The sequence below is a fragment of the Homo sapiens genome, chromosome 13, assembly GCF_000001405.40.
Source record: "Homo sapiens chromosome 13, GRCh38.p14 Primary Assembly".
NCBI classification, from domain to species: domain Eukaryota; kingdom Metazoa; phylum Chordata; class Mammalia; order Primates; family Hominidae; genus Homo; species Homo sapiens.
In genome coordinates, this window is record NC_000013.11 from 38,530,679 (window position 1) to 38,551,804 (window position 21,126).

A 21,126-nucleotide genomic window follows, 5' to 3' on the forward strand; every position below is an offset into this window, starting at 1 on the left:
CTGTTATATAGTACACCAGCACACTCTATTGGACACATAAGATAATAAATGTGGTCTCCAAAGCAACATTTTAATGTCATTAAATTCTGCTATTTATTTCATTGACAAAGTATTCTTTTTTATACTTACTTTATAGAATAAGCAGAAATTACATGATATTCATGGAGAAATTCAGGATTTTGATATAGACGAGAATAAGAAATGTAAAAATTATGGCCATTTTCTACATACGTAGAGCTTGACCCAATAAATTGCGGGACAATGGGATGAGGATTGAGAAATGCCTTCAGATCAGGAATCGTCTTGCAGAGCAGACAGACCAAAACTAAGAAATTACCCATTCAACCAACATTTTTTGAGTGCCCACTATCTGTAAGATGGGCTAATCCCGTGTGTACAAAAATGGCTAAGACATAGGTCTGCCCCAGCACTCTGAAAAAATTGTTAGAGCCAAAATATTTATAAAGTTTTTCTGGTCCTACATGAGCAAAATATGGATACAGCTCAATTTTTAGATGTCCAATGCCATAATTCTTGTGGCATATTTTGAGGAATTTAAAATTTTGTTCTCAGAAATAAGATAGAGAAGGTGTCAATTTAAGACCGTGGACTCTGGGGCACTTGTACCCACATCTGCCTGTGATTTTCTTTGGTACTTTAAGTAAAACGATTCTAGACTCATTTAATTATCTAGAAATTGTAAATGTCACTTAGGATGATAGTAAAACTGAGTTTTTTAGTGCTTATAATATGCTAAGCTTTTTTCTAAGGGCTTAGAATGTGTTTTCTCATTTCGTCCACACAGCAACCCTATCAAATATTACTATTTTTTCCCACTTTGCTGATGAAAAGACTGAGGCATGAAGAACTTAAACAAATATCTGAAGATTACACAGCTTTTTAAAATAAATGACAGAGTTCGGGTTAAAACCCAGGGTGTCTGATAGGAGGGCTCTTTCTCTTAGGGTACATCACAGGATATTTCTGTGATCAATTTATTTCATTCAAATGTGGGAAGGATAGCGAATGCTCCACAGCAGCTTTCAGGCTTTTAGAATATCAGGGATCTATACAGAAAAGGGGGCATCTAATTGTCTGTGGCTGAGGACTCATTATAATAACCCAAACTAATTGGTTTGTAACTTGTAGCCATTTGAGTAATTCTCTTATAATATGTCAGTCAGATCAAGATTGCTGGGACAACAATGGATATGTTGCAGACAGTGATAACCATGCTTCCGCCCTCAGTCGTCACCATGTGTACCATATTTTATACATGTTTTCTTACTCCCAGGCATACACAACATTAAAATAAATAAAATGGTTGATATCCCCATTTTTAATAAAAAAGAAAAAGGACATTTTAGTAACTACCATAAGTCAAATGAACTCTAATTCAGCATCAATATAGAATGAAGTGCTATAGTTCATCCACATTCTTATTAATAAATTCTGTATGATTCACATGCCCCTTAATTTAGGTCTTGTATTCATCTAATTTGCTTACTTGTCCTCCCTATGATTGCAAAAATGTTGACAGTTTGGATTTTATTTTATGAGTCAGTTGCTTACATAACAGTACCAAATGTTAAATGTGGAAATTAAATGCCCTATAGTCAAAATAATGATAATTATTAACAATACAAAATAAACTGCCAAAGAGATCCTTACTCTAATGACAAATATGCTAGCTTTAATAGAAACAAGTTGTTTCCTAAGCAGCTGTCACTCCTAACTCATTGAAACTGAAATGATTATGACCTGACACAGATTAGAAATTCATACACACACACATAATATTGTAAGCATAAGGTATCTCAGCAATAATTCAACTTATAAAACCTGCGTTACACTCTTTTAATTAGGCAATTAAGAAAGATACAAATGGGTACAAAAATTAGACAAAAATTATGGCAGAACATATATGTCATTATCTTGGAAGATTAAAACTAAACAAGTAGCAATAATGTCTGTTTTGAAGTGTCTTTTGGGTGAAATCATTAATAAACATGTTAAACCACTAGTTTCATAATGATAGAGAAAGTAATATTTCTGGATTTAAATATAAACATGATTATAATTATTCAGCCTTGCCTTCAATTCTGACAAAGAAAAAAATGATATATAAGCTATGATGAAATATCTTTAGAGCATACTCTCATGATTTACAGCAAATTTATATAGGCTCAATCGAAATGGTTCAAATCAAAATCCCTTATAATTCAGAGTGCAGATGAGGAGTTGTTTACACTAATCAATAACTATTATTTGAAGAATGTTGCAACTGGGATCTTAAGGAATCTTAAGACTCATTCATTCTTGGGAAAACTTTTGGTGGGTCTATGGTGCCCAAACATTCCGTGGGAATATCAAACTTGAATTAGTCAATGTTGTATTTTTTCTCGTTCAATATTAAAATTAAAGCACTGATATGACTCAATTTATGTCATGCTAAAAAACAACGAATTCTAAACAAACTTTTCTGATGTTACTTGCAGATAAAAATACATTGCAGAATATGTGATTGATTAACACAAAGCTGGGGAAGCAGTTACATTTGGGATATAGACCAAGGAGAGGGATGTATTAGTGAGGAGTACACAGAAGGCTCTAAAGATACTGAGAGTGGGTGCTTTATTTGTTAATTTTAGCAGTGGTCATATAGGTGCTCATTTCATCCTAATTTTTAAAAATTGTACATGTGCAATTATGTATATTATATTCTATGTATAGCATAGTTCAAATTTAAAAAATTAAAGACTGACATGATTTTTGAAACTGCTGGATGAGTTCATTTTGTCATCCTACATATCCTTTTGTTAGCTTATCTATTTATGTTCGATAATTACAGTGTTAAATTATTTCATAAGTTTTTTGATGCAATGAAATACCTTAGGTTTACTAAATTTTAGTTCTTAATTTGTTTTAGTTAGAATAAAATACTGCTTCAAGTAAAAGAAGAAAAAAATAGTTGATTAAAAATATGAAGGTTTATTTATCTCACATTTAAAAATGTCTTGTAGGCAGTCAATCCAGGAGTGACATGATAGCGTTGCTCAAAAAATTCCTTGGGGACACAGGCTTTTTCCAGCTTCCTATACCAGTAACTCTAGTGGACTATGGCCTTTCCCCTCATAATATGAGATGGAGTTTCAGCAGCCGATCCAAGTTCCAAGAAACTGGATAAAATGATCAGAAGAAGAAGAAAGGGGGAGGTGCAATATATTTCTATTCACATTCCATAGGCCAGATCTCAGTCACGTGGCCATATCTTCCTGCAAGGCAGGCCAAGAATGAAGTCTTCATTTTGAGTGGCCATGTGCCCAGCTAAACATCTTGTTACTGTGGAGGAAAAGAAACCATATTGAAAAGTACTGAGCAGGCTGAGAAACGAGGCAATATTAATCAGAAGACATAGCGTCTTTCTAATGATTCTGTTTACATTTTAAAAAATCCTCTTTTAATTTCAAGTTTATCAAATTAGAAACTTCTTCTATTGATCTTTGTCTTTTAGCTCTTTAGATATTCAAATTCACAGACTGAATGTTTGTAACGACCATTCAGTAAACCCTGTTCTTTCTAAAAAACTAAATTATATTTTAACATAATACATTAAAATAAAAATATAAATTAAATCAATGTGTTGTCAGCTTTTGTTAAATTATAATTTCTGTAAGTTAAAGACTACTACTTGGATGAATAAAATTGCCAGTTTCCTATCATTGATTTGTTAACTATATTGAGTATTTTATTGTACTTCATCTTGGTCATAAGAAGGTAAATTTTAATATAAAAATACTAAACATAAGTTACGAGTGAAATTTTCTTTCCTACTATTATCATCATTTGACTTTAATAACACATTAAAATACGCTTTTTAAGTTTTATATTTCTTTTAGTAATTCATCTAAAACAGCATATCAGAATGTTAATTTTAGAATATTTCAAAGTAAAAATACTTTTCCTCATCCATTTACATATCTGAGCCAAAATTCTAAAATATTTTTAAAATACCCATTTAATATAGTGTGCTTCTTTCTGAGTTTACTTATAACCATTGAATGCATTATCTTAAAAATAAACAACCAAAGAAAAATGTTGACTCATCTCTCTTTCTGAACTTCAAATTCTACTGATAAATCAATTCCCATTTTGCAAGCAATGTTTTAACTTTTCTCACCCATGTCAACAAATTAAACTGCTATATGTAATGAATAATATTTGATAGTCAAATCAGAAAAAACAATGAGCAAAAAGAAACTATAAGAAACAAAAATATAATAGAAATGCATTTGCTTTTAGAAATGGCTGTATCTGGCTGTTCCATAAACTGACACCTCTTGATTAGCAAAGGGAAAAATGTCACAGGTGCAAGTAGTGATTTAGAGATGTGATATAGAAATATTCTCAAACATGAAGTGCTCCCATACAAGTTGAATCAGCAAACATTTTATTGACAAACCCTCAGTGAAAACCTGCTCAGAAAGTCCTGAGGCTGAATTCTGCAGCACCGCTGTCTAGCACCTGACTTGGAGATTCCCTATCTGGTGTCAAAGTCTCCCATTCTGAGATAGGGATTTTTTTATGTGTACTCAGCTTTCTATCAGATTCAGCACAAAGAAATGGTTAGGAGTCGCTTATTCAAATGGAAGAGTACATAGAGCTAAAAGCGACTTCTTTTTTGTGTGTGTTTTTGCTTTTTGTCCCTCTCCCTTTGTGTTATTTCAGATGACCTCCCTAGGCTTGAATACCCCACGGGTGGTTACAACTTGGAACATCTGTCCACAGCCTGGCGTGGTGACAACACCTGCTCCGCACTTGGCAGGGTGGCTGTATGGAATAGTGGTTTACCACATGGGCTATTCAGTCAGGGTGGTTGGGTTCAAATCCGAGCTCGGGTTAATTAACCTCTCAGTGCTCCAATAATCATTTGTATCATTAGTATGATTATAGAGGTGATGTATGGAAACAGGTAATATTTGTAAAGTATCATGTATTAAGTGCTCAAAAATATGTATCATCATCATATATTTTACATTATATAGATGTATTATAAATATATGCATAAAGATGACATTTTAAGAAGGGAATTGGGTAAGGACATTGGAAATTAAAATTGTTCAATGTCAAAATACTTAGAAGAAGGAAGACAGTCATTTAAATGTCTATCAATCTCCTGAAAAATGTTATGATACTATGGCACCATTTACTCTTTGTTCCACCCTTGATGATTCTGATCACCTGCCAGGTCTGAGTTGTAAGCCTAGGTCTATATATAATTTTTAGTTTTCCAAGCAATAATATATAGCCAAATTGGAGAATGCCTTGATCAGAATATCCTCATCAGTGATCAATATTTCTGATTCTAACCCACCCACCCACCTACCTTCCTTCCTTCCTTCCTTCCTTCCTTCCTTCCTTCCTTCTTTTTTTGACAGGGTCTCATGCTGTTTCTCAGGCTGAGTATTAGTGGTGCAATAACAGCTCACTGTAGCCTCGAACTCCTGGATTCAAGCACCCTCATGCCTCAGCCTTTTGAGTAGCTAGGACTACAGGCATGTGCCGCCATGCCTGGCTAATTTTTTATTTTTTCTAAAGACAGGGTCTCACTATGTTGCCCAGGTTGTTCTCAAACTCTTGGGTTCAAGCGATTCTTGAGCTTCGCCCTCCCAAAATCCTGGGGTTACAGGCTTGAGCCATTGTGCCCAGCCTCAACTGACCTCTTCAACTTTTTCTTTCACTACTATCCTCTCTTCTCATCCTACTGCTTGTTGTTCTCTAAACACACCATGCTTTATTTCATATATATATATATATATATATATATATGAGAGTTTGCATGAGCTACTACTGCTACTTAAATAGGCTTCCCCAGAGTGCCTTTTCTACTGGCAAAGGCTTGCTCCTGTTTTAATACCCAGATCAACCATTCTGTCCTTCCCATGCTGAGCAAGATCAGTGGATCTCTTCTATGAATTCCCCGAGACTGCTGCAGCCCCAATCCCACCTCATGTGAAGGTCTTAGGTCCCCAGAAGGTCACTAGACTGTGAGTTCCTTAATGACAGAATTTTACATATTTTGTTTTCTCCAGTGGCTTTAGCACACTGCATAATACAGAGTAGATACCTAAAGAATGATGGCAATGACTGAAAAAACTCAAGTTGCATGCAGAAGGCTGAGGCATATGTAAGTATCTTTGTTCAAGGGCTTGACTCTGAGAATAAGATGCTGTTAATGTAAAATATTACAGAAATTCAGAAGAAAGAGCAGTGAATGTTGCTCTATTCACACACAAGGACATACCAAGATATTTCTTGTACAGAAACACTGTTTTATATTGCAAAGGAACCAGAAAAATTTGAAATCTGATTTTTGCTTCATTAAATTTGCAATCAAAGTGGGGCAACAAGACAAGTACTGTGCAATTAAGAGATGAAATTAAGAGGTTTATGGAAGTCTAGTGATAGGGAAACCATATAAAGCCACATGAACATAAGCAAAGATAACTTTCTTGAGAAGGTGAGACTAGCTCTTGATATTAAAAAAGACTGTGTTTGTACAGAGTAGGGGAAAAACAGATGGTTTTTTAGAAGTGTGAAGTAACGGGAGGAATAGGGAGGCTGGTGTGTTAGTTAGGAAACTGTTGAAACAGAGCCCAGATTGCATGTTAGGAAGTAGTGGGAAATAATGGGAGATCGGTAGGTTGGGCCAGATTATAATGAAGCTTTTAAAGTAACTAGGAACGAAAAGTTTGAGATTTTTCTGCTAACTGAAGCAAATGATTGATTGATGAAAGGAAAAAAACACTGTGTTGATTAAATGTTGACCATTATAATTTTCAGTGCAACAGCTGCTACTGAAATTGCAGTAATTCAAAATGAAAAATAGACACTGTTGTTCTAAAATAGCTTGGACTATTTGGAACCCTGTAGCATGAGTTTATGCTATGTAGTTTTGCTAAGAACATGATGGGGTGCAGGGTTTTCTTTTTTCATTTTATCATAATTACTTGTTCTAAGGATGGAGAATTCAAACTGAGCAACAATTTCACAGCCAGAGTTGGAGTGTGGGTTGTATAAAGTTGTCGAAGCACTTTCCAAAGGTATAAAAACTCCTCTCAACTACCTAATTACAATTTCTAACTGAAATGGTATTTAAAACATGTAACTTGCTTACATTATTTATCTATTAAAATGCATGTATTATAAACTCATTATTTACATTGTATTATTTGCTCACAGTTTTTCTCCTGAAAACTAAGTCCTTGAGTTTGACAGTAGGTATTTCCCCTCAAGATAAATATTTTAAAAACTAACCATACTATGCAAACTACTGGGGTAGGAATAATCCATGAATATAATTTACATCACAACTCATAGTTACTTATTTTTTATTGCCCAAGATAAACAATTTATTTCAAGGCCATCATTTTATCTTCTTTTGGATTAGTAATATCTATAATGTCAAATAAATCAAGTTGCAGTTCAACATTACTATTCTAGGCATCCTTGTTTATTACTAGCACATCATCTCTCTGTACCTCTAATTTATTTTAGGTTACTTTGTCATATCAAGACATTTGGACATCATCCCATAGCAGGTATTTGAAAACAGGGAGATGCCGAAAAACCCCAAGCTGTATTTTGGAAAGATAATGCTGGTAGAAGTAGGAGGATAAATTAGAGGGCAAGGGAAGAGACTTGAAGAAAAGGGGACCAGTTATAGGATAAATGGGATGAGCTGGCTGTGTGAGGAATAGTATGAACAGATTGAGGAAGCATTTTAGAGGTTGAATGGAACTTGTTACTCTACAAGAATTAACAGGTACATAATAAAATGACCTATCAGTGTTACAGTCACAGACACGCTTAGGTTGAAAATGGAGCTCTGGGTACTCTAAGGAGGCAATGGCAGAAGCTTTGCGGAAACAGGTTGCTATAGCAACAGTAGCCTGTCAAGTGCAAATAGAGCCCATTCTCCCTGCCAGTGACCAATAGAGATTTTCAGAAGGCCAAGATGTAATTAGCACGCTAGACCAACTGGTACTTTGATATGGAAAAGTGATCATCCAACGGATACCATAAACATGTCTATGACTTTAACCAAAGCAGGACCCTACATTTTCAAATGTTTATGGTACTGAAACCAGACAATATTTATCCAAATATAGATTCCTTATCCCTTCTACTCTAGGCAAGTATAGCTCTTTAACATCTTTGTGGTTCATATTCCTCATCTATATGGCAGAATAATCACTATGACTATAAACTTGTATGATACTTAGAAGGTGCACGGCACACATTAAGTGAAATGCAAATATTAGTCATTATTATTATCGCTGTTATCCTCATCATCACATAAGTGGGTAGCATAATGCAAGGCTTAAAAGCATGAACTCTGAAAGCAGAATGCTTGTGTTTCATTGTTGTTGTTGTTTAAAAATATAGCACTTTGTAGCTGTGTGAATTTGGGCAACTTATTGAAACTGTCTGCAATTCAGTTTCCTCACCTACAAAATGAGAAATAATACCTGCACCTACTTCACAGAGTTGTTATGTGGGTTAAATGAATTCATATTTGTAAAGTGCTTAAGGTAGTGTCTGGCACATAGTGAATAATAGAGTATTTGTTAAATAAACAAGTAAATGAAAATGTTTTTGTTACATTCCTCTTAGTGGTTTTGATGCTTCCATAATAGCTACTCTTTTTTAGTAGGTTTTAAAATCTAAACTTGCTTTTATGCTTTTCCATGGCTTTCAAATTTAAAGAAAGCAAAAAGGGGCCAGGCGTGGTGGCTCAGGCCTGTAATCCCAGAACTTTGGGAGGCCGAGGCGGACAGATCAAGAAGTCAGGAGTTCGAGACCAGCCTGGCCAACGTGGTGAAACCTCGTCTCTACTAAAAATACAAAAATTAGCCAGGTGTGGTGACACGTGCCTGTAATCTCAACTACTCAGGAGGCTGAGGCAGGAGAATCGCTTGAACCTGAGAGGCAGTGTTTGCAGTGAGCTGACATTGTACCAGTGCACTCCAGCCTGGGTGACAGAGCGAGACTCTGTCTCTAAAAAAGAAAGAAAGAAAGAAAGAAAAACAAAAAAGCAGAAAGTAAAGTGAAAAACACTGAACTAAAATTTATTGCATTTCTACTTCATTGCAGGCCTTCTCAGAGGCATTATATTATCTCATTTAATCCTCACAAAACCCACATGAGCTACAGATGAGAAAAGAGACTAAGAAAATGGAAACAATCCAAATACATTCCCACAGGTGGTAAATGTTAAAGCTAGAATTTAATCCACATATCATTAATTCTAACATTAATATTCTTTAAATTATTACTATTATTATTTTGAGACAGAGTCTCGCTCTGTTGCCCAGGCTCGAGTGCAGTGGTGCAATCTCGGCTCACTGCAACTTCTGCCCCCTCGGTTCAAGCAATTCTCCTGCCTCAGCCTCCCAAGTAGCTGGGATTACAGGCACCCACCACTACGACCAGCTAATTTTTTGTATTTTTAGTAGAAACAGGGTTTCGCCATGTTGGCCAGGCTGGTGTCGAACTCCTGACCTCGTGATCTGTCCGCCTCAGCCTCCTGAAGTGCTGGGATTACAGGCGTGAGTCACCGTGCCTGGCCAATATTCTTTAAATTATTATTGCACAGTATTTCTTACATAAGTTTAAAGTAAATAATAGTTATTCCAAATAATTATTGATTACGATAATGTGAAAAATATTTTTACTATTATTTTATTTTTATGAAACCTTATGTCTTTAACAGTTAATGTTTTTCTAAATATAGTAATATTTATTAAATTATCAACCTGCTACATCACTCCTGGGTGAGATATAGCATTCTGCTTAAAAGACAAACTAATGGTTAATTTATGGTTGATTGACTCATTAATGATGGCTTCAATGGAGAATATATTCTATCCCATGAATTTAAGAGCCCACTATAATATTTAAATATAGGTAATTTTTATTAAGACAATATCATTTCCTTTTTCAGACTACAGTACACTAATCTTTATCTTTTAAAAATCATTTCTAATATTTTAGATTTATTGGGTTTTGAGATTATGGTAAGATTCCTTCATAACCTTCAGCAAAAATGCCTATTAAAGATGTTTTAAAAAAACTGTTGTCTACCCCTAACTTATGAATTTATCATCTATGAAGCAAAAACATAGACTCCACCATGAACCAAAGATGAGTTAGGCCAAGGTGGGTGGATCACAAGGTCAGGAGTTCAAGACCAGCCTGGCCAAAATAGTGAAACTCCATCTCTACTAAAAATACAAAAATTAGCTGGGTGTGGTGGCGGGTTCCTGTAATCCCAGCTGCTCGGGAGACTGAGGCAGAGAATTGCTTGAATCCAGGAGGCAGAGGTTGCAGTAAGCCGAGACCATGTCACTGCACTCCAGCTTGAGTGACAGAGCGAGACCCTGTTTCAAAAAAAAAAAAAAAAAAAAAAAAAGAAATACACAAAACCCATCATCGCAGTTTTCATTCTTACCTAATTTACACTTCATACAAATTACTTCATGTGTTATTTTCTAGTTAATTTTCAGTTCAGCATTTTGTTAAATTATATTGATTGCTAGCACTTCCACAAGTGCACAGAAGCAGTGATTTCTGCATCAGAGTTTAAAGGAAAACAAAAACACATTCTCAGATAGCAAAAAAGGAAAATAATTACTGCTGTTAGTCACTCCTCAAGGACCAAGGAGAAAATGGCAATGAATTTAGGTGTGGATGAAAAGGTGAAATGAGCTTCTTTTTTTGTCGCTGCTGTGGATTAGTTACAAAGCAACTTTAAATGGATTCAGACAGAACAGACGGAAATAAATCTAATAAATTGTATTGGAATTCATTGAGTGGAATGCCATAGTGTGTTTTCTCTTTACATATTCAAGTAATTCATCATGTCCATTTCCTCATTTTAGAACACCTGTCTAAGATATTTTCACCTACAAATTCATTAATGGGTAGCTAATTTTTTCTATTCATACCATCTGTATATACCCTTAAAATTAATGTATTCATAAAATTGTTTTCAACAAGTGAGAACAACAGCAAATCTTCAAAGGCAATTAACCTTTTAAACTCATCTAAACAAGTGCATGATTTAATGTATACATGTTTATAAGTCAACTCTCATTCTTTGTTTGTTTGTTTGTTTTGTTTTGAGACGCAGTCTCGCTCTGTAGCCCAGGCTGGAGTGCAGTGGCGTGATCTCCACTCACTGCAAGCTCCGCTTCCCGGGTTCACTCCATTCTCCTGCCTCAGCCTCCCGAGTAGCTGGGAGTAGCTGGGACTACAGGTGCCTGCCACCACGCCCAGCTAATTTTTTGTATTTTTAGTAGAGACGGGGTTTCACCGTGTTAGCCAGGATAGTCTCGATCTCCTGACCTCATGATCTGCCCGCCTCGCCTCCCAAAGTGCTGGGATTACAGGTGTGAGCCACCACCCCCGGCCTAAGTCAACTATCATTCTGAAAAAACAGAGCATCTCCCAGTCCCCACAAAAATAGCCCACACCCCAGTTTAATATATGTGTAAGCTAGTGAATGCAGTCTTTGAAAAAATAATAGAAAAACTAATCCCTAGGAAATTCATAGGTATATTTTATGCTATGAAATGTCATCAAGCGTGTGATAGTGAAAACTTTTCTTAAAACTGACTGCTCCATGAAATTGTTTTAGAAAACTTGGAGCAAGTCCAGCATTACTTATGCCTCATGTAGGAAAACAATAAAATGTAGCTGAAATATTCAGCATGAAGAATGGAAGTTATGTGTCTTCAGTCATGACTGTGTAGATTTTTCTTGAAGGGAAGTATGCTTCTGGGAGATTTAAATTTGTTGTAAGGTAAAACATTTTTGACAAAATGAATGCTGAGTGTGCAAGAGATTTTCCATTTTCCCTCTATATTCACACTCAATTTTTCTCCAACTTGCTCGGCGACCTGGGAAGGAAAACTTGAATTGCACATGCTCCCTCTGACCTCCATTGGATTTGGTCTATGGAAAGGAATAGCAGCAGATCTACATGTGGAAGGACATGTGATCAGAGTATTTATTCCCTGGCTAACCTCTGCCAGGCTGCAGGCTGGCAATGGTGTGTCATTCTATCAAAGGCTGAATCACCTATTTGGCATCCTCCTGCTATGACCACAGCTACTTCTAAAGCAATGGCAGCATTTCTTTCCAGATTCTAATATCCATTCCTCTTCAGATCTAAGATGGAAAGGGCTTCCTGCTATTGCTAGTCCTTCAGTGTGCCATCCCTTGCTGGTTTCCTTAGCCAAGCTCGTGCCTTTGTAAATGGTTTCTTTATTAAACTATCCTTAATTACCCCCCTTTAAGTGTGCTATCTTCCTTGCTGACAAATACCTTCAGCAAATCAATTAATTCCAAGTATTAACTTCTAAGCCTCTTCCTCGAGCCATTAGAGAAATTAAAATGTCTTTAAAGCAATGTAAATGTTTTTGCAGGCATATAGATAATAGACTACTTCATTGAGTTCGGTATAGCTGGTAAATCGATGATAATTTAACATTTAATTTAAAGTTTAAGATTTAATGTTTCTCTAATGGGAGTAGAAATGTCTTTCCACAACTTGATAACTATTTTGAGGGACACAAACTTAGGCGATTTTATGGAACATCAATCAGGAAATTATGAGGTTTTCTTGTGATGCGTTTTCTGATCAAGTATTGTTCCATACTTTTAAATAGTTCAAATAATGTGCCCTGACATTTTTTTCTCAATTTTAAACAGGTTATTTACATACCACATCATCATTTAGACAAACACAATATTTTATGCTATTACTATTGTATTTGGGTCTTTCATCAGCCTTTTGATATTCATATAGGTATTAAAGAATGTTTTGGTTTTAAGACTTACGACAGAAAAGCCTCAGACATAATCAATATAGGCAAGCTCTAGGGAAGACAGAAATTTTCCTATTCAGTTCATTGTTAAAATTAGTTATTTCACGTCTATCCCAACTGCCCAGTATCCTTTTTACCACATCAAAGCATAATTGCTGAGTCAATCAAGTTCAAAACAGATGAACTGGGAGTATTGGCTGGTGGTTGTGAATTCCTTGGTTCTCTCACCGTAGTTTAGTTACATCATTAAAGTGTTGATTTTTTAAAAATTGTGATGCATGACTCAGAGTCTGAAACTTTAAGAGCAAGAGAGCCTTAAAGAATGAGAACAGAAGGCTGCAACATACATTGTTCAATGTCCCCTTTCACGACTCTTCTTATCAAATATGTACACCTGCATAAACACGCTTTACTTGCTGAATTCTACCAAGATATGTTTATTATTTGCCCAAAAGACAAATATAACAAAGACAACATTTTCATATTAAATTCTCTATTAAATTTAATATGAAAATGAAAAAGCTAACTCATCAAGCTTAATCCCCTCCTTGATCACAGTACGTTTCTCAAATGTTTGACTAGTTCATGTTTGAACAGATTTTACACTGTAAACATAAATAATTCACAAGACAATACCAATATACAAATTTTAAAGATGATGAAATAGAAATTCAGAAAATATTATTTTCTCAAGGTTACAAATTACCAGTAAGCTGTAGAATACGACCTTGAATAGGCCTTCTAACTCTGGTTAAATGCTTTAACCACTACACCTTGAGAACATCTTTTGATGAGCTATAATAGAAAGTCATTAAAACACTAGATGCCCAAGTTAGGATAAAGAGAGAGAAAGGACCTACTGAGATCACTGAGAGGAAACATCCCCAAGTTCAGAATTTTTCCTAGGACCAGCTTTATCTGAGGGTAGAAAGGCCTGAGAGAGGTGCACTCAATGAAGCGTCCTGGTCACCTCTATTTATCTCAAAGGTGGAGTCCCAGAAGACATGCCAAAAAGGACAGAATGCAAAAATGTCTTTTCTTGACATTCTCTTCTAGTATCTCCATGTTACTCTCCTCAAGGTGGAGAATTAAGAAATGAGTCAGAGAGAGGGATGCATTTTGGACAGTGTTGTCACATAAGACCTTTGGACAGTGCGCAGGCTCCAGGGACTCAGTATTGCAGCAGAGGTTCTTCACATTCACAGTTTACTCCTATTCTATTACTGCAAATAGTGCATGAGAAAGTTGCTTACCAAATTCTCCAGAAAGACTTCTGTCCCTGGATAAATTAACATAAAGCATCACATAGTTTGACATTAAATAACCGTGTGTGCTGATTCCTGGTTATTTTGTTAGTGTAGCATTCACTTTATTTGTGTGCACCTGGCCATCCCAAAGGCTAATGGATGTCTTAAAATGTGACTTGCATATTTGTTTTGTTTTGATTTTTGGTTCTCAGAAGAAATTACCTCCTAGAAAAAATACTAAAAATAATAATTCTCTTCCTAGATCAACCTGCAAAATTTTACTGAGCTCCATAATTTAGCAAGGAAGAAAAAATATTTTCATAATACTAAGAGTTCAACCAAGTAGAATATTAACTAGACCGAATTACCTTGAATGTGATGTTTGAACTTGTGTGGGTTCTATTGATACATTCAGCTGACATTTGTTGAGTGCCTCTCCTGTGACAAGCACATAGCAGGGATTTCTGAAACAAAAGACAAACTTTGCAGGTGTCAATTGCTGTTGAGCTAATAGACCAGCAGGAAAGATTGAGGTACAAGTGTTGCCACCCTTTCAGTTTGAACATCCTTTGATTACAATTCCAGTCACATTTGCATAAATACTACAAAGCCTGGCACTCTGAGTTCCGCCGCATGATAGCAGGACCTGGTATTTTCTCTCAGGGAGTTCTTGAATGGTAATACCTCTTGTCCAACTACCCCATTGCTCATGCCACAGGGTTCCACTTCCCTTTGTTTCCACTCACTCCTTCTTGAAGTCCCCACGGACCATACTGCCACCACCATTCTGTCTCCAGGGGCTTGGACAAAGAGGAGTGCCCTTAACATAGTCACTGTATAATAAGTACAGGGCTGACTTCATGGACGTGTCCAGTGCAATTGCACAAGACCCCACTTTAGAAGTCCTTGCACTTGAACATTTGGAGTTGAATGCTCTCTGGTTGCTGTCTTGAAACGTTTAATAGTGTTATCTTTGAGTTTATGTTTTGTAAGTGAAGTCCAATGGGTCAGTGGAGCATGTGCCGGGGACTAGGCACCTCAGCCCACACATGATGCTGCCTCCAACCACCTCCGTGACTCCATGGGAGGAGCTCCAGGCAGCCTAACCTCCATCCTCTGTGGCCTTGGGACATGCCCTGACTCCCTTTCTTGATCCCACTCTTTGATCGCTGACCCCTATATCTAGGGCAGTAACCAGGTCACATCTGTTGAGAACGCCCTGCATCCTCTTGACCTCCACCTTGCTGGGGGCCCAGACAAGGGTCATGGGAAAAGTCAAGGTCTCTGTGTGTTCCCTGCAGAGTCTGGAGAAGGAGCATGGTGCTCGTCATCCCAAGCCTGGGTTGGCAGTGCCACAGCATGTTTCCTGGGGGCAAACGTATCATTCACAACTGATCCAGGTACTAAGTGTATGCCAGTGCAGAGGTTTGCCATTTCTTGCATGGTCACCCTGTCAGCTGTGGGTTGGGATGACAGCAAATAGGAAGGAGAGATTGACTTCCCTGTCCCTGCTGGGGTCCTGTATTTCCATTTTGCACTGGGCCTGGCAAAATTAGACAGCTGACCCTGCATGGGTAACATACATTATACCCCTGGATATTATTCTGAACAAAAGAATAAACTATTTTACTGTTCCCTTTAATATGAGAGTGTATACTAGGAAAGAGGGGCTTTAATCATGTTAGAATAACCTATAACCAGAGGAACTGCAGCTTGGGTTGAGGGGAAGGAAAAGACCCATGTGGTTAAATGGTTATATGCAGGATATAAAAATTAAGTGAATATATTGATAATTACAGGACCTTGAATTCTTACTACTTGGGGAAATACAAATATAGAAAGGAGGAAGGTGAAAATAAATCCTGAATGTTGAGTTGGAAACTGTAAACTCTTGGTTTTTAAACACGGATGGATGGGTACAGACAGAGATGCAGATTACATGGGCCTACACGTGCCTGTGTGTGTGTGTGTGTGTGTGTGTGTGTGTGTGTGTGTGTGTGTGTTCCTAGTTCTTCCTGCTGAGAAGGTCTGGAAGCCTAGTAGCAAGAAACACACTTGGCACCCAGATCTTGGATACTAAATACTCCACTAAATAAAGCCAAGACTCCAGGGAAAATGCGTGATTCCAGAGCAGGGAAAGTGTAAGATGGGACTGGAACATTTTGCAGTATCACAATGAAAAGAAGGAATCAAAGAATATATGGATATGTCAAAAGAGCAGAGGAGCCATCTTGAAGGGGCTCTTACTGTCCAAACTTGGGACAATTAGGACAGCAAATAAATAATGATAATAATAAAATATAACCCATGGAGTAAAATAAGAATCCATGAGTCAATGCTGATATAAATATATAAATGAATGAATGAATGAGTCAAAGAAATTGGAGAGAAGGGATTGCTCTACATTATAGTAAAACATAAGCAATAAATGTAGAAAGAATTATGAACTTAGAATATCACCATTTGGCAATAACTGCAGTAAAAAATGATTTGGGATATGATTATCAATAGATTTTTTAAAAATAAGTGAAATTTTGATAAGAAACAATATTTATCTAAATAATATTTACTTACTTTCAAAGCAGCTCCCCACTTACATAAAAATATTTGATTGATTTAAAAATTAAAATAATAAGTGCATTATGTACTTACATAAATAACAATTTTAATTAAAATATTCTTTCAAAAATTAGTGAGAAGATTAACATTGCTTCATTTTTTGGAAATCTTATTAACACGAGGATTAATAGAAGACAACTGGATTTTCACATCTGCTCTGCATTTAATCTGATGTGACATTTTGTTTTGGTTGAAGTATGTAAAGAAAATCTAATCTCACACAAATACGTAGTTTGAAAAGGAAAGGATATTTTAATAGTCTTCTCAAATAATGGTGGATATTCTTTGGTACAATAGCAATTTTTTTAAATTGTTGTGGTACTCAGTAAGTGTATATATTTGTGGGATGCATAAGATGCTTTGATACAGGCATGGCATGTAAAATAAGCACATCATGGAAAATGGGGTACCCACTGCCTCAAGCATTTATCTTTTGAGTTACAAACAATCCACTTACACTCTTTAAGTTATTTTTAAATGTAGAATTGAGTTATTGCTGACACTAGTCATCCTGTTGTCCTATCAAGTAATAGGTCTTATTCTTTAACTATTTTTTGTACCCATTAAACATCACCGTCTCCTCACCAGTGCCCCATTACCCTTCCCAGCCTCTAATAACCATCCTTCTACTCTCTATATCCATGAATTCAATTGTTTTGATTTTTAGATCACACAAATAAGTGGGAACATGTGATTTTTGTCTTTCTGTGCCTGGCTTATTTCATTTAACAAAATGATTTCCAGTTCCATCCATGTTGTTGCAAATGACGGATCTCATTCTTTTTTGTGGCTGAATACTACTCCATTGTGTAAATGTACCACATTTTCTTTATCCATTCATCTCTTGATGAACACTTAGATTGATTCTAAATCTTAGGTATTGCAAACAGTGCTTCCACAAACATAGGAGTGCAGACATCTCTTCAATATACTGATGTCCTTTCTTTTGGGTATGTACCCAGCAGTGGGATTGCTGGATCATATGGTAGCTCAATTCTTAGTTTTTCAAGAAACCTCCAAATTGTTCTCCACAGTGGTTGTACCAATTTACATTCCCACCAACAGTGTACAGGTGTTCCCTTTTCTTCACATCCTGCCAGCATTTGTTATTGCCTGTCTTTTGGATGTAGCCATTTTAATTGGAGTGAGAGGATATCTCATTGCAAATTTGACTTGCCTTTCTCTGATTATTAATGATCTTGAGCACATTTTCATATGCCTGTTTGCCATTTGTATGTCTCCTGTTGAGAAACGTCTATTCAAATTTTTGATCAGATTATTAGATTTTTTTCCTGTAGAGTTGTTTGAGTTATTTATATATTTGGTTATTAATCCCTTGTCAGAGGGTAATTTGCAAATATTTTCTCTCATTCTGTGGATTGTCTCTTCACTTTGTTGACTGTATCTTTTGATGTTTAGAAGCTTTTTAACTTGATGGAATCTCATTTGTCCATTTTTGCTTTGGTTGCCTATGCTTGTGGGGTTATGCTCAAGAAATTTTTGCCCAGACCAATGTTCTGGAGATTTTACCCAATGTTTTTTTGTAGTAGTTTTATAGTTTGAGGTATTATATTTAAGTCTTTAATCCATTTTTATTTGATTTTTTTATATAGTGAGAGACAGGGGTCTAGTTTCATTCTTCTGCATATGGCTTTTCAGGGGTCTAGTTTCATTCTTCTGCATATGGCTTTTCAGGGGTCTAGTTTCATTTTTCTGCATATGGCTTTTCAGTTTTCCCAGTGCCATTTATTAAAGAAACTGTCTTTTCCCCAGTATATGTTCTTGGCACCTTTGTTGAGAATGGGTTCACTGTAGGTGTGTGGATTTGTTTCTAGGTTCTCCATTCTGTTCCATTGGTCTATGTGTCTGTTTTTATGACACTACCATACTCTTTTGGTTACTATAGCTTTGTGGTACAGTTTGAAGTCAGGTGATGTGATTCCTCCAGTTTCGTTCATTTTGCTTTGGCTATTCTGGATCTTTTGTGGTTCTATATAAATTTTAGGATTGCTTTTTCTATTTCTGTGAAGAATGTTAATGGTATTTTGATGGGGATTGTATTAAATCTGTAGATTGTTTTGGGTAGTATGGACATTTTAACTATATTGATTCTTCTAATCCATGAACATGGAAAACGTTTTCCATTTTTTAGTGTCCTATCCAATTTCTTTCATCAGTGTTTTATAGTTTTCATAATAGAGATATTTCACTTCTTCAGTTGATTCCTAGGTATTTAATTTTATGTGTGGCTATGATAAATGGAATTACTTTTTAAAATTTCCTTTTTACATTGTTCCCTGTTGGCATATAGAAGTGCTACCAAATTTTTATGTTGATTTTTGTATCCTGCAAATTTACTGAATTTGTTTATCAATTCTCATAGTTTTCTTGTGGAGTTTTCCAGATATAAGATCATATCATCTACAAACAAGTATAATTTGACTTCTTCTTTTCCAATTTTGATACCCTTTATTTCTTTCTCTTGTCTGATTGCTTTAGCTAAGATTTCCAGTTCTATGTTGAATAACAGTGGTGGCATCCCTGTCGTATTCCAGATCTTAGGGGAAAGGCTTTCAGTTTTCGGCATTAAGTATGATACTAGCTGTGGGCTGTCGTATATGGCTTTTATTATGTTGAGGTGTGTTCCTTCAATCCCCATCTTTTTAAGGGTTTTTATCAAGAAGGAATGTTGAATTTTATTAAATGCTTTTCAGCATCAATTTAAATGATCATTTGGTTTTTATCCTTCATTCTGTAGATATGATGTATTACATTGATTGATTTGCATATGTTGAACCATCCTTACTTTCCAAGGATAAATCCCACTTAGTCATAATGAATGATCTTTTTAATGTATTGTTTAATTGGGTTTGCTTGTATTTAGTTGACAATTTTTGCATCAATATTCATCAGAGATATTGGCCTTCAGTGTTTTTGGGGGGTGGGTATTTTTTTTTTTGATGTGTCTTTGTCTGATTTAGGTTTCAGGGTGATTCTGGCCTCATAGAATGAGTTTGGAAGTATTCCCCTCCCCTCTATTTGTTGGAATAATTTGAATAGGATTGGTATTAGTTCTTCTTTAAATGTTTGGTAGAATTCAGCAGTGAAGCCATCAGGTCCTGGGCTTTTCTTTACTGGGAGACTTTTTATTACAGCTTTGATCTTATTACTTATTAGTCTGTTCAGATTTTTTATTTCTTCCTGGTTCAATGTTGGTAGGTTGTATGTGTCTAGGGATTTGTCCATTTCTTCTAGATATTCCAATCTATTGTCATATAGTTGCTTATAGTAGCCACTAATGACCCTTTGAATTTCTGCAGTATCAGTTGTAATGTCTCCTTTTTAATTTCTGATTTTATTTATTTGGATTTATTATCTTAGTCTGGCTAAAGGTTGCTAATTTTGTTTAACTTAAAAAAACATTTTGTTTCATTGATGTTTTGTCTTGTTTTTACTTCAGTTTTTTAATTTCTTCTCTGATCTTTATGATTTCTTATCTTCTACTAATTTTGGGTTTGGTTTACTCGTGCTTTTCCAGTTCTTCAAGATGAGTTGTTAGATTATTTATTTGAAGTTTTTCCCCTTTTTTGATCTAGGTGCTTATATCCATACAATTCCCTCTTAGTACTGGGCTGGGTGCAGTGGCTCACACCTGTAATCCTAGTGCTTTGGGAGGCTGAGTCAGGGAGATCACCTGAGGTCAGAAGAATCACTTGAACCCAGGAGGTGGAGGTTGCAGTGAGCCGAGATCACACCACTGCACTCAGGCCTAGGTGACAGGCAACAGAGCAGGACCCTGTTTCAAAACCAAAAAAAAAAAAGAAAGAAAGAAAAAAAAGGAAGAAAAAAGAAAAAATTCCCTCTTAGTACTGATTTACTGATTTTGCTGTATCCCCTAGGTTTGGTATATTGTATTTCTGTTGTCATTTGTTTCAAGAAATTTTTCAGTTTCTTTCTGAATTTCTTCATTAACCCACTGGTCATTCAGGAGCATATTGTTTAATTTTCATGTATTTGTATAGCTTCCAAAATTCCTCTTGTTATTGATTTCTAGTTTTATTCCATTGTTCTCAGAGAAGATGCTTGATATTATTTCAGATTTTTGAATGATTTTTTTTTTTTTTTTTGAGATTAGTCTTGCTCTGTCACCAGACTAGAGTGCAGTGGCATGATCTCGGCTCACTGCAACCTCCACCTCCCAGCAAGCAATTCTCCTGCCTTGGCCTCCCAAGTAGCTGGAATTACAGGAGTGAATGTTTTAAGACTTGTTTTGTGACCTAAGATATGGTCTATCCTTCAGAAAGATCCATGTGCTGAGGAAAAGAATGTGAAATCTGCAGCTCTTGGATGAAATATTCTGTAGATAA

General features: G+C 35.9%; 1 long non-coding RNA gene across 1 annotated transcript in view; it reads right to left on the reverse strand.

Moving 5' to 3' along the window:
- Nucleotides 1-1,321: 1,321 nt before the first annotated feature.
- Nucleotides 1,322-21,126, reverse strand: part of LINC00437 (long intergenic non-protein coding RNA 437) — a 154,676-nt gene continuing 134,871 nt past the window's right edge. The window contains exon 3 of the long non-coding RNA NR_126377.1: nt 1,322-3,342. This is a non-coding gene — a long non-coding RNA (long intergenic non-protein coding RNA 437). The remainder of the gene's footprint in view (nt 3,343-21,126) is intronic.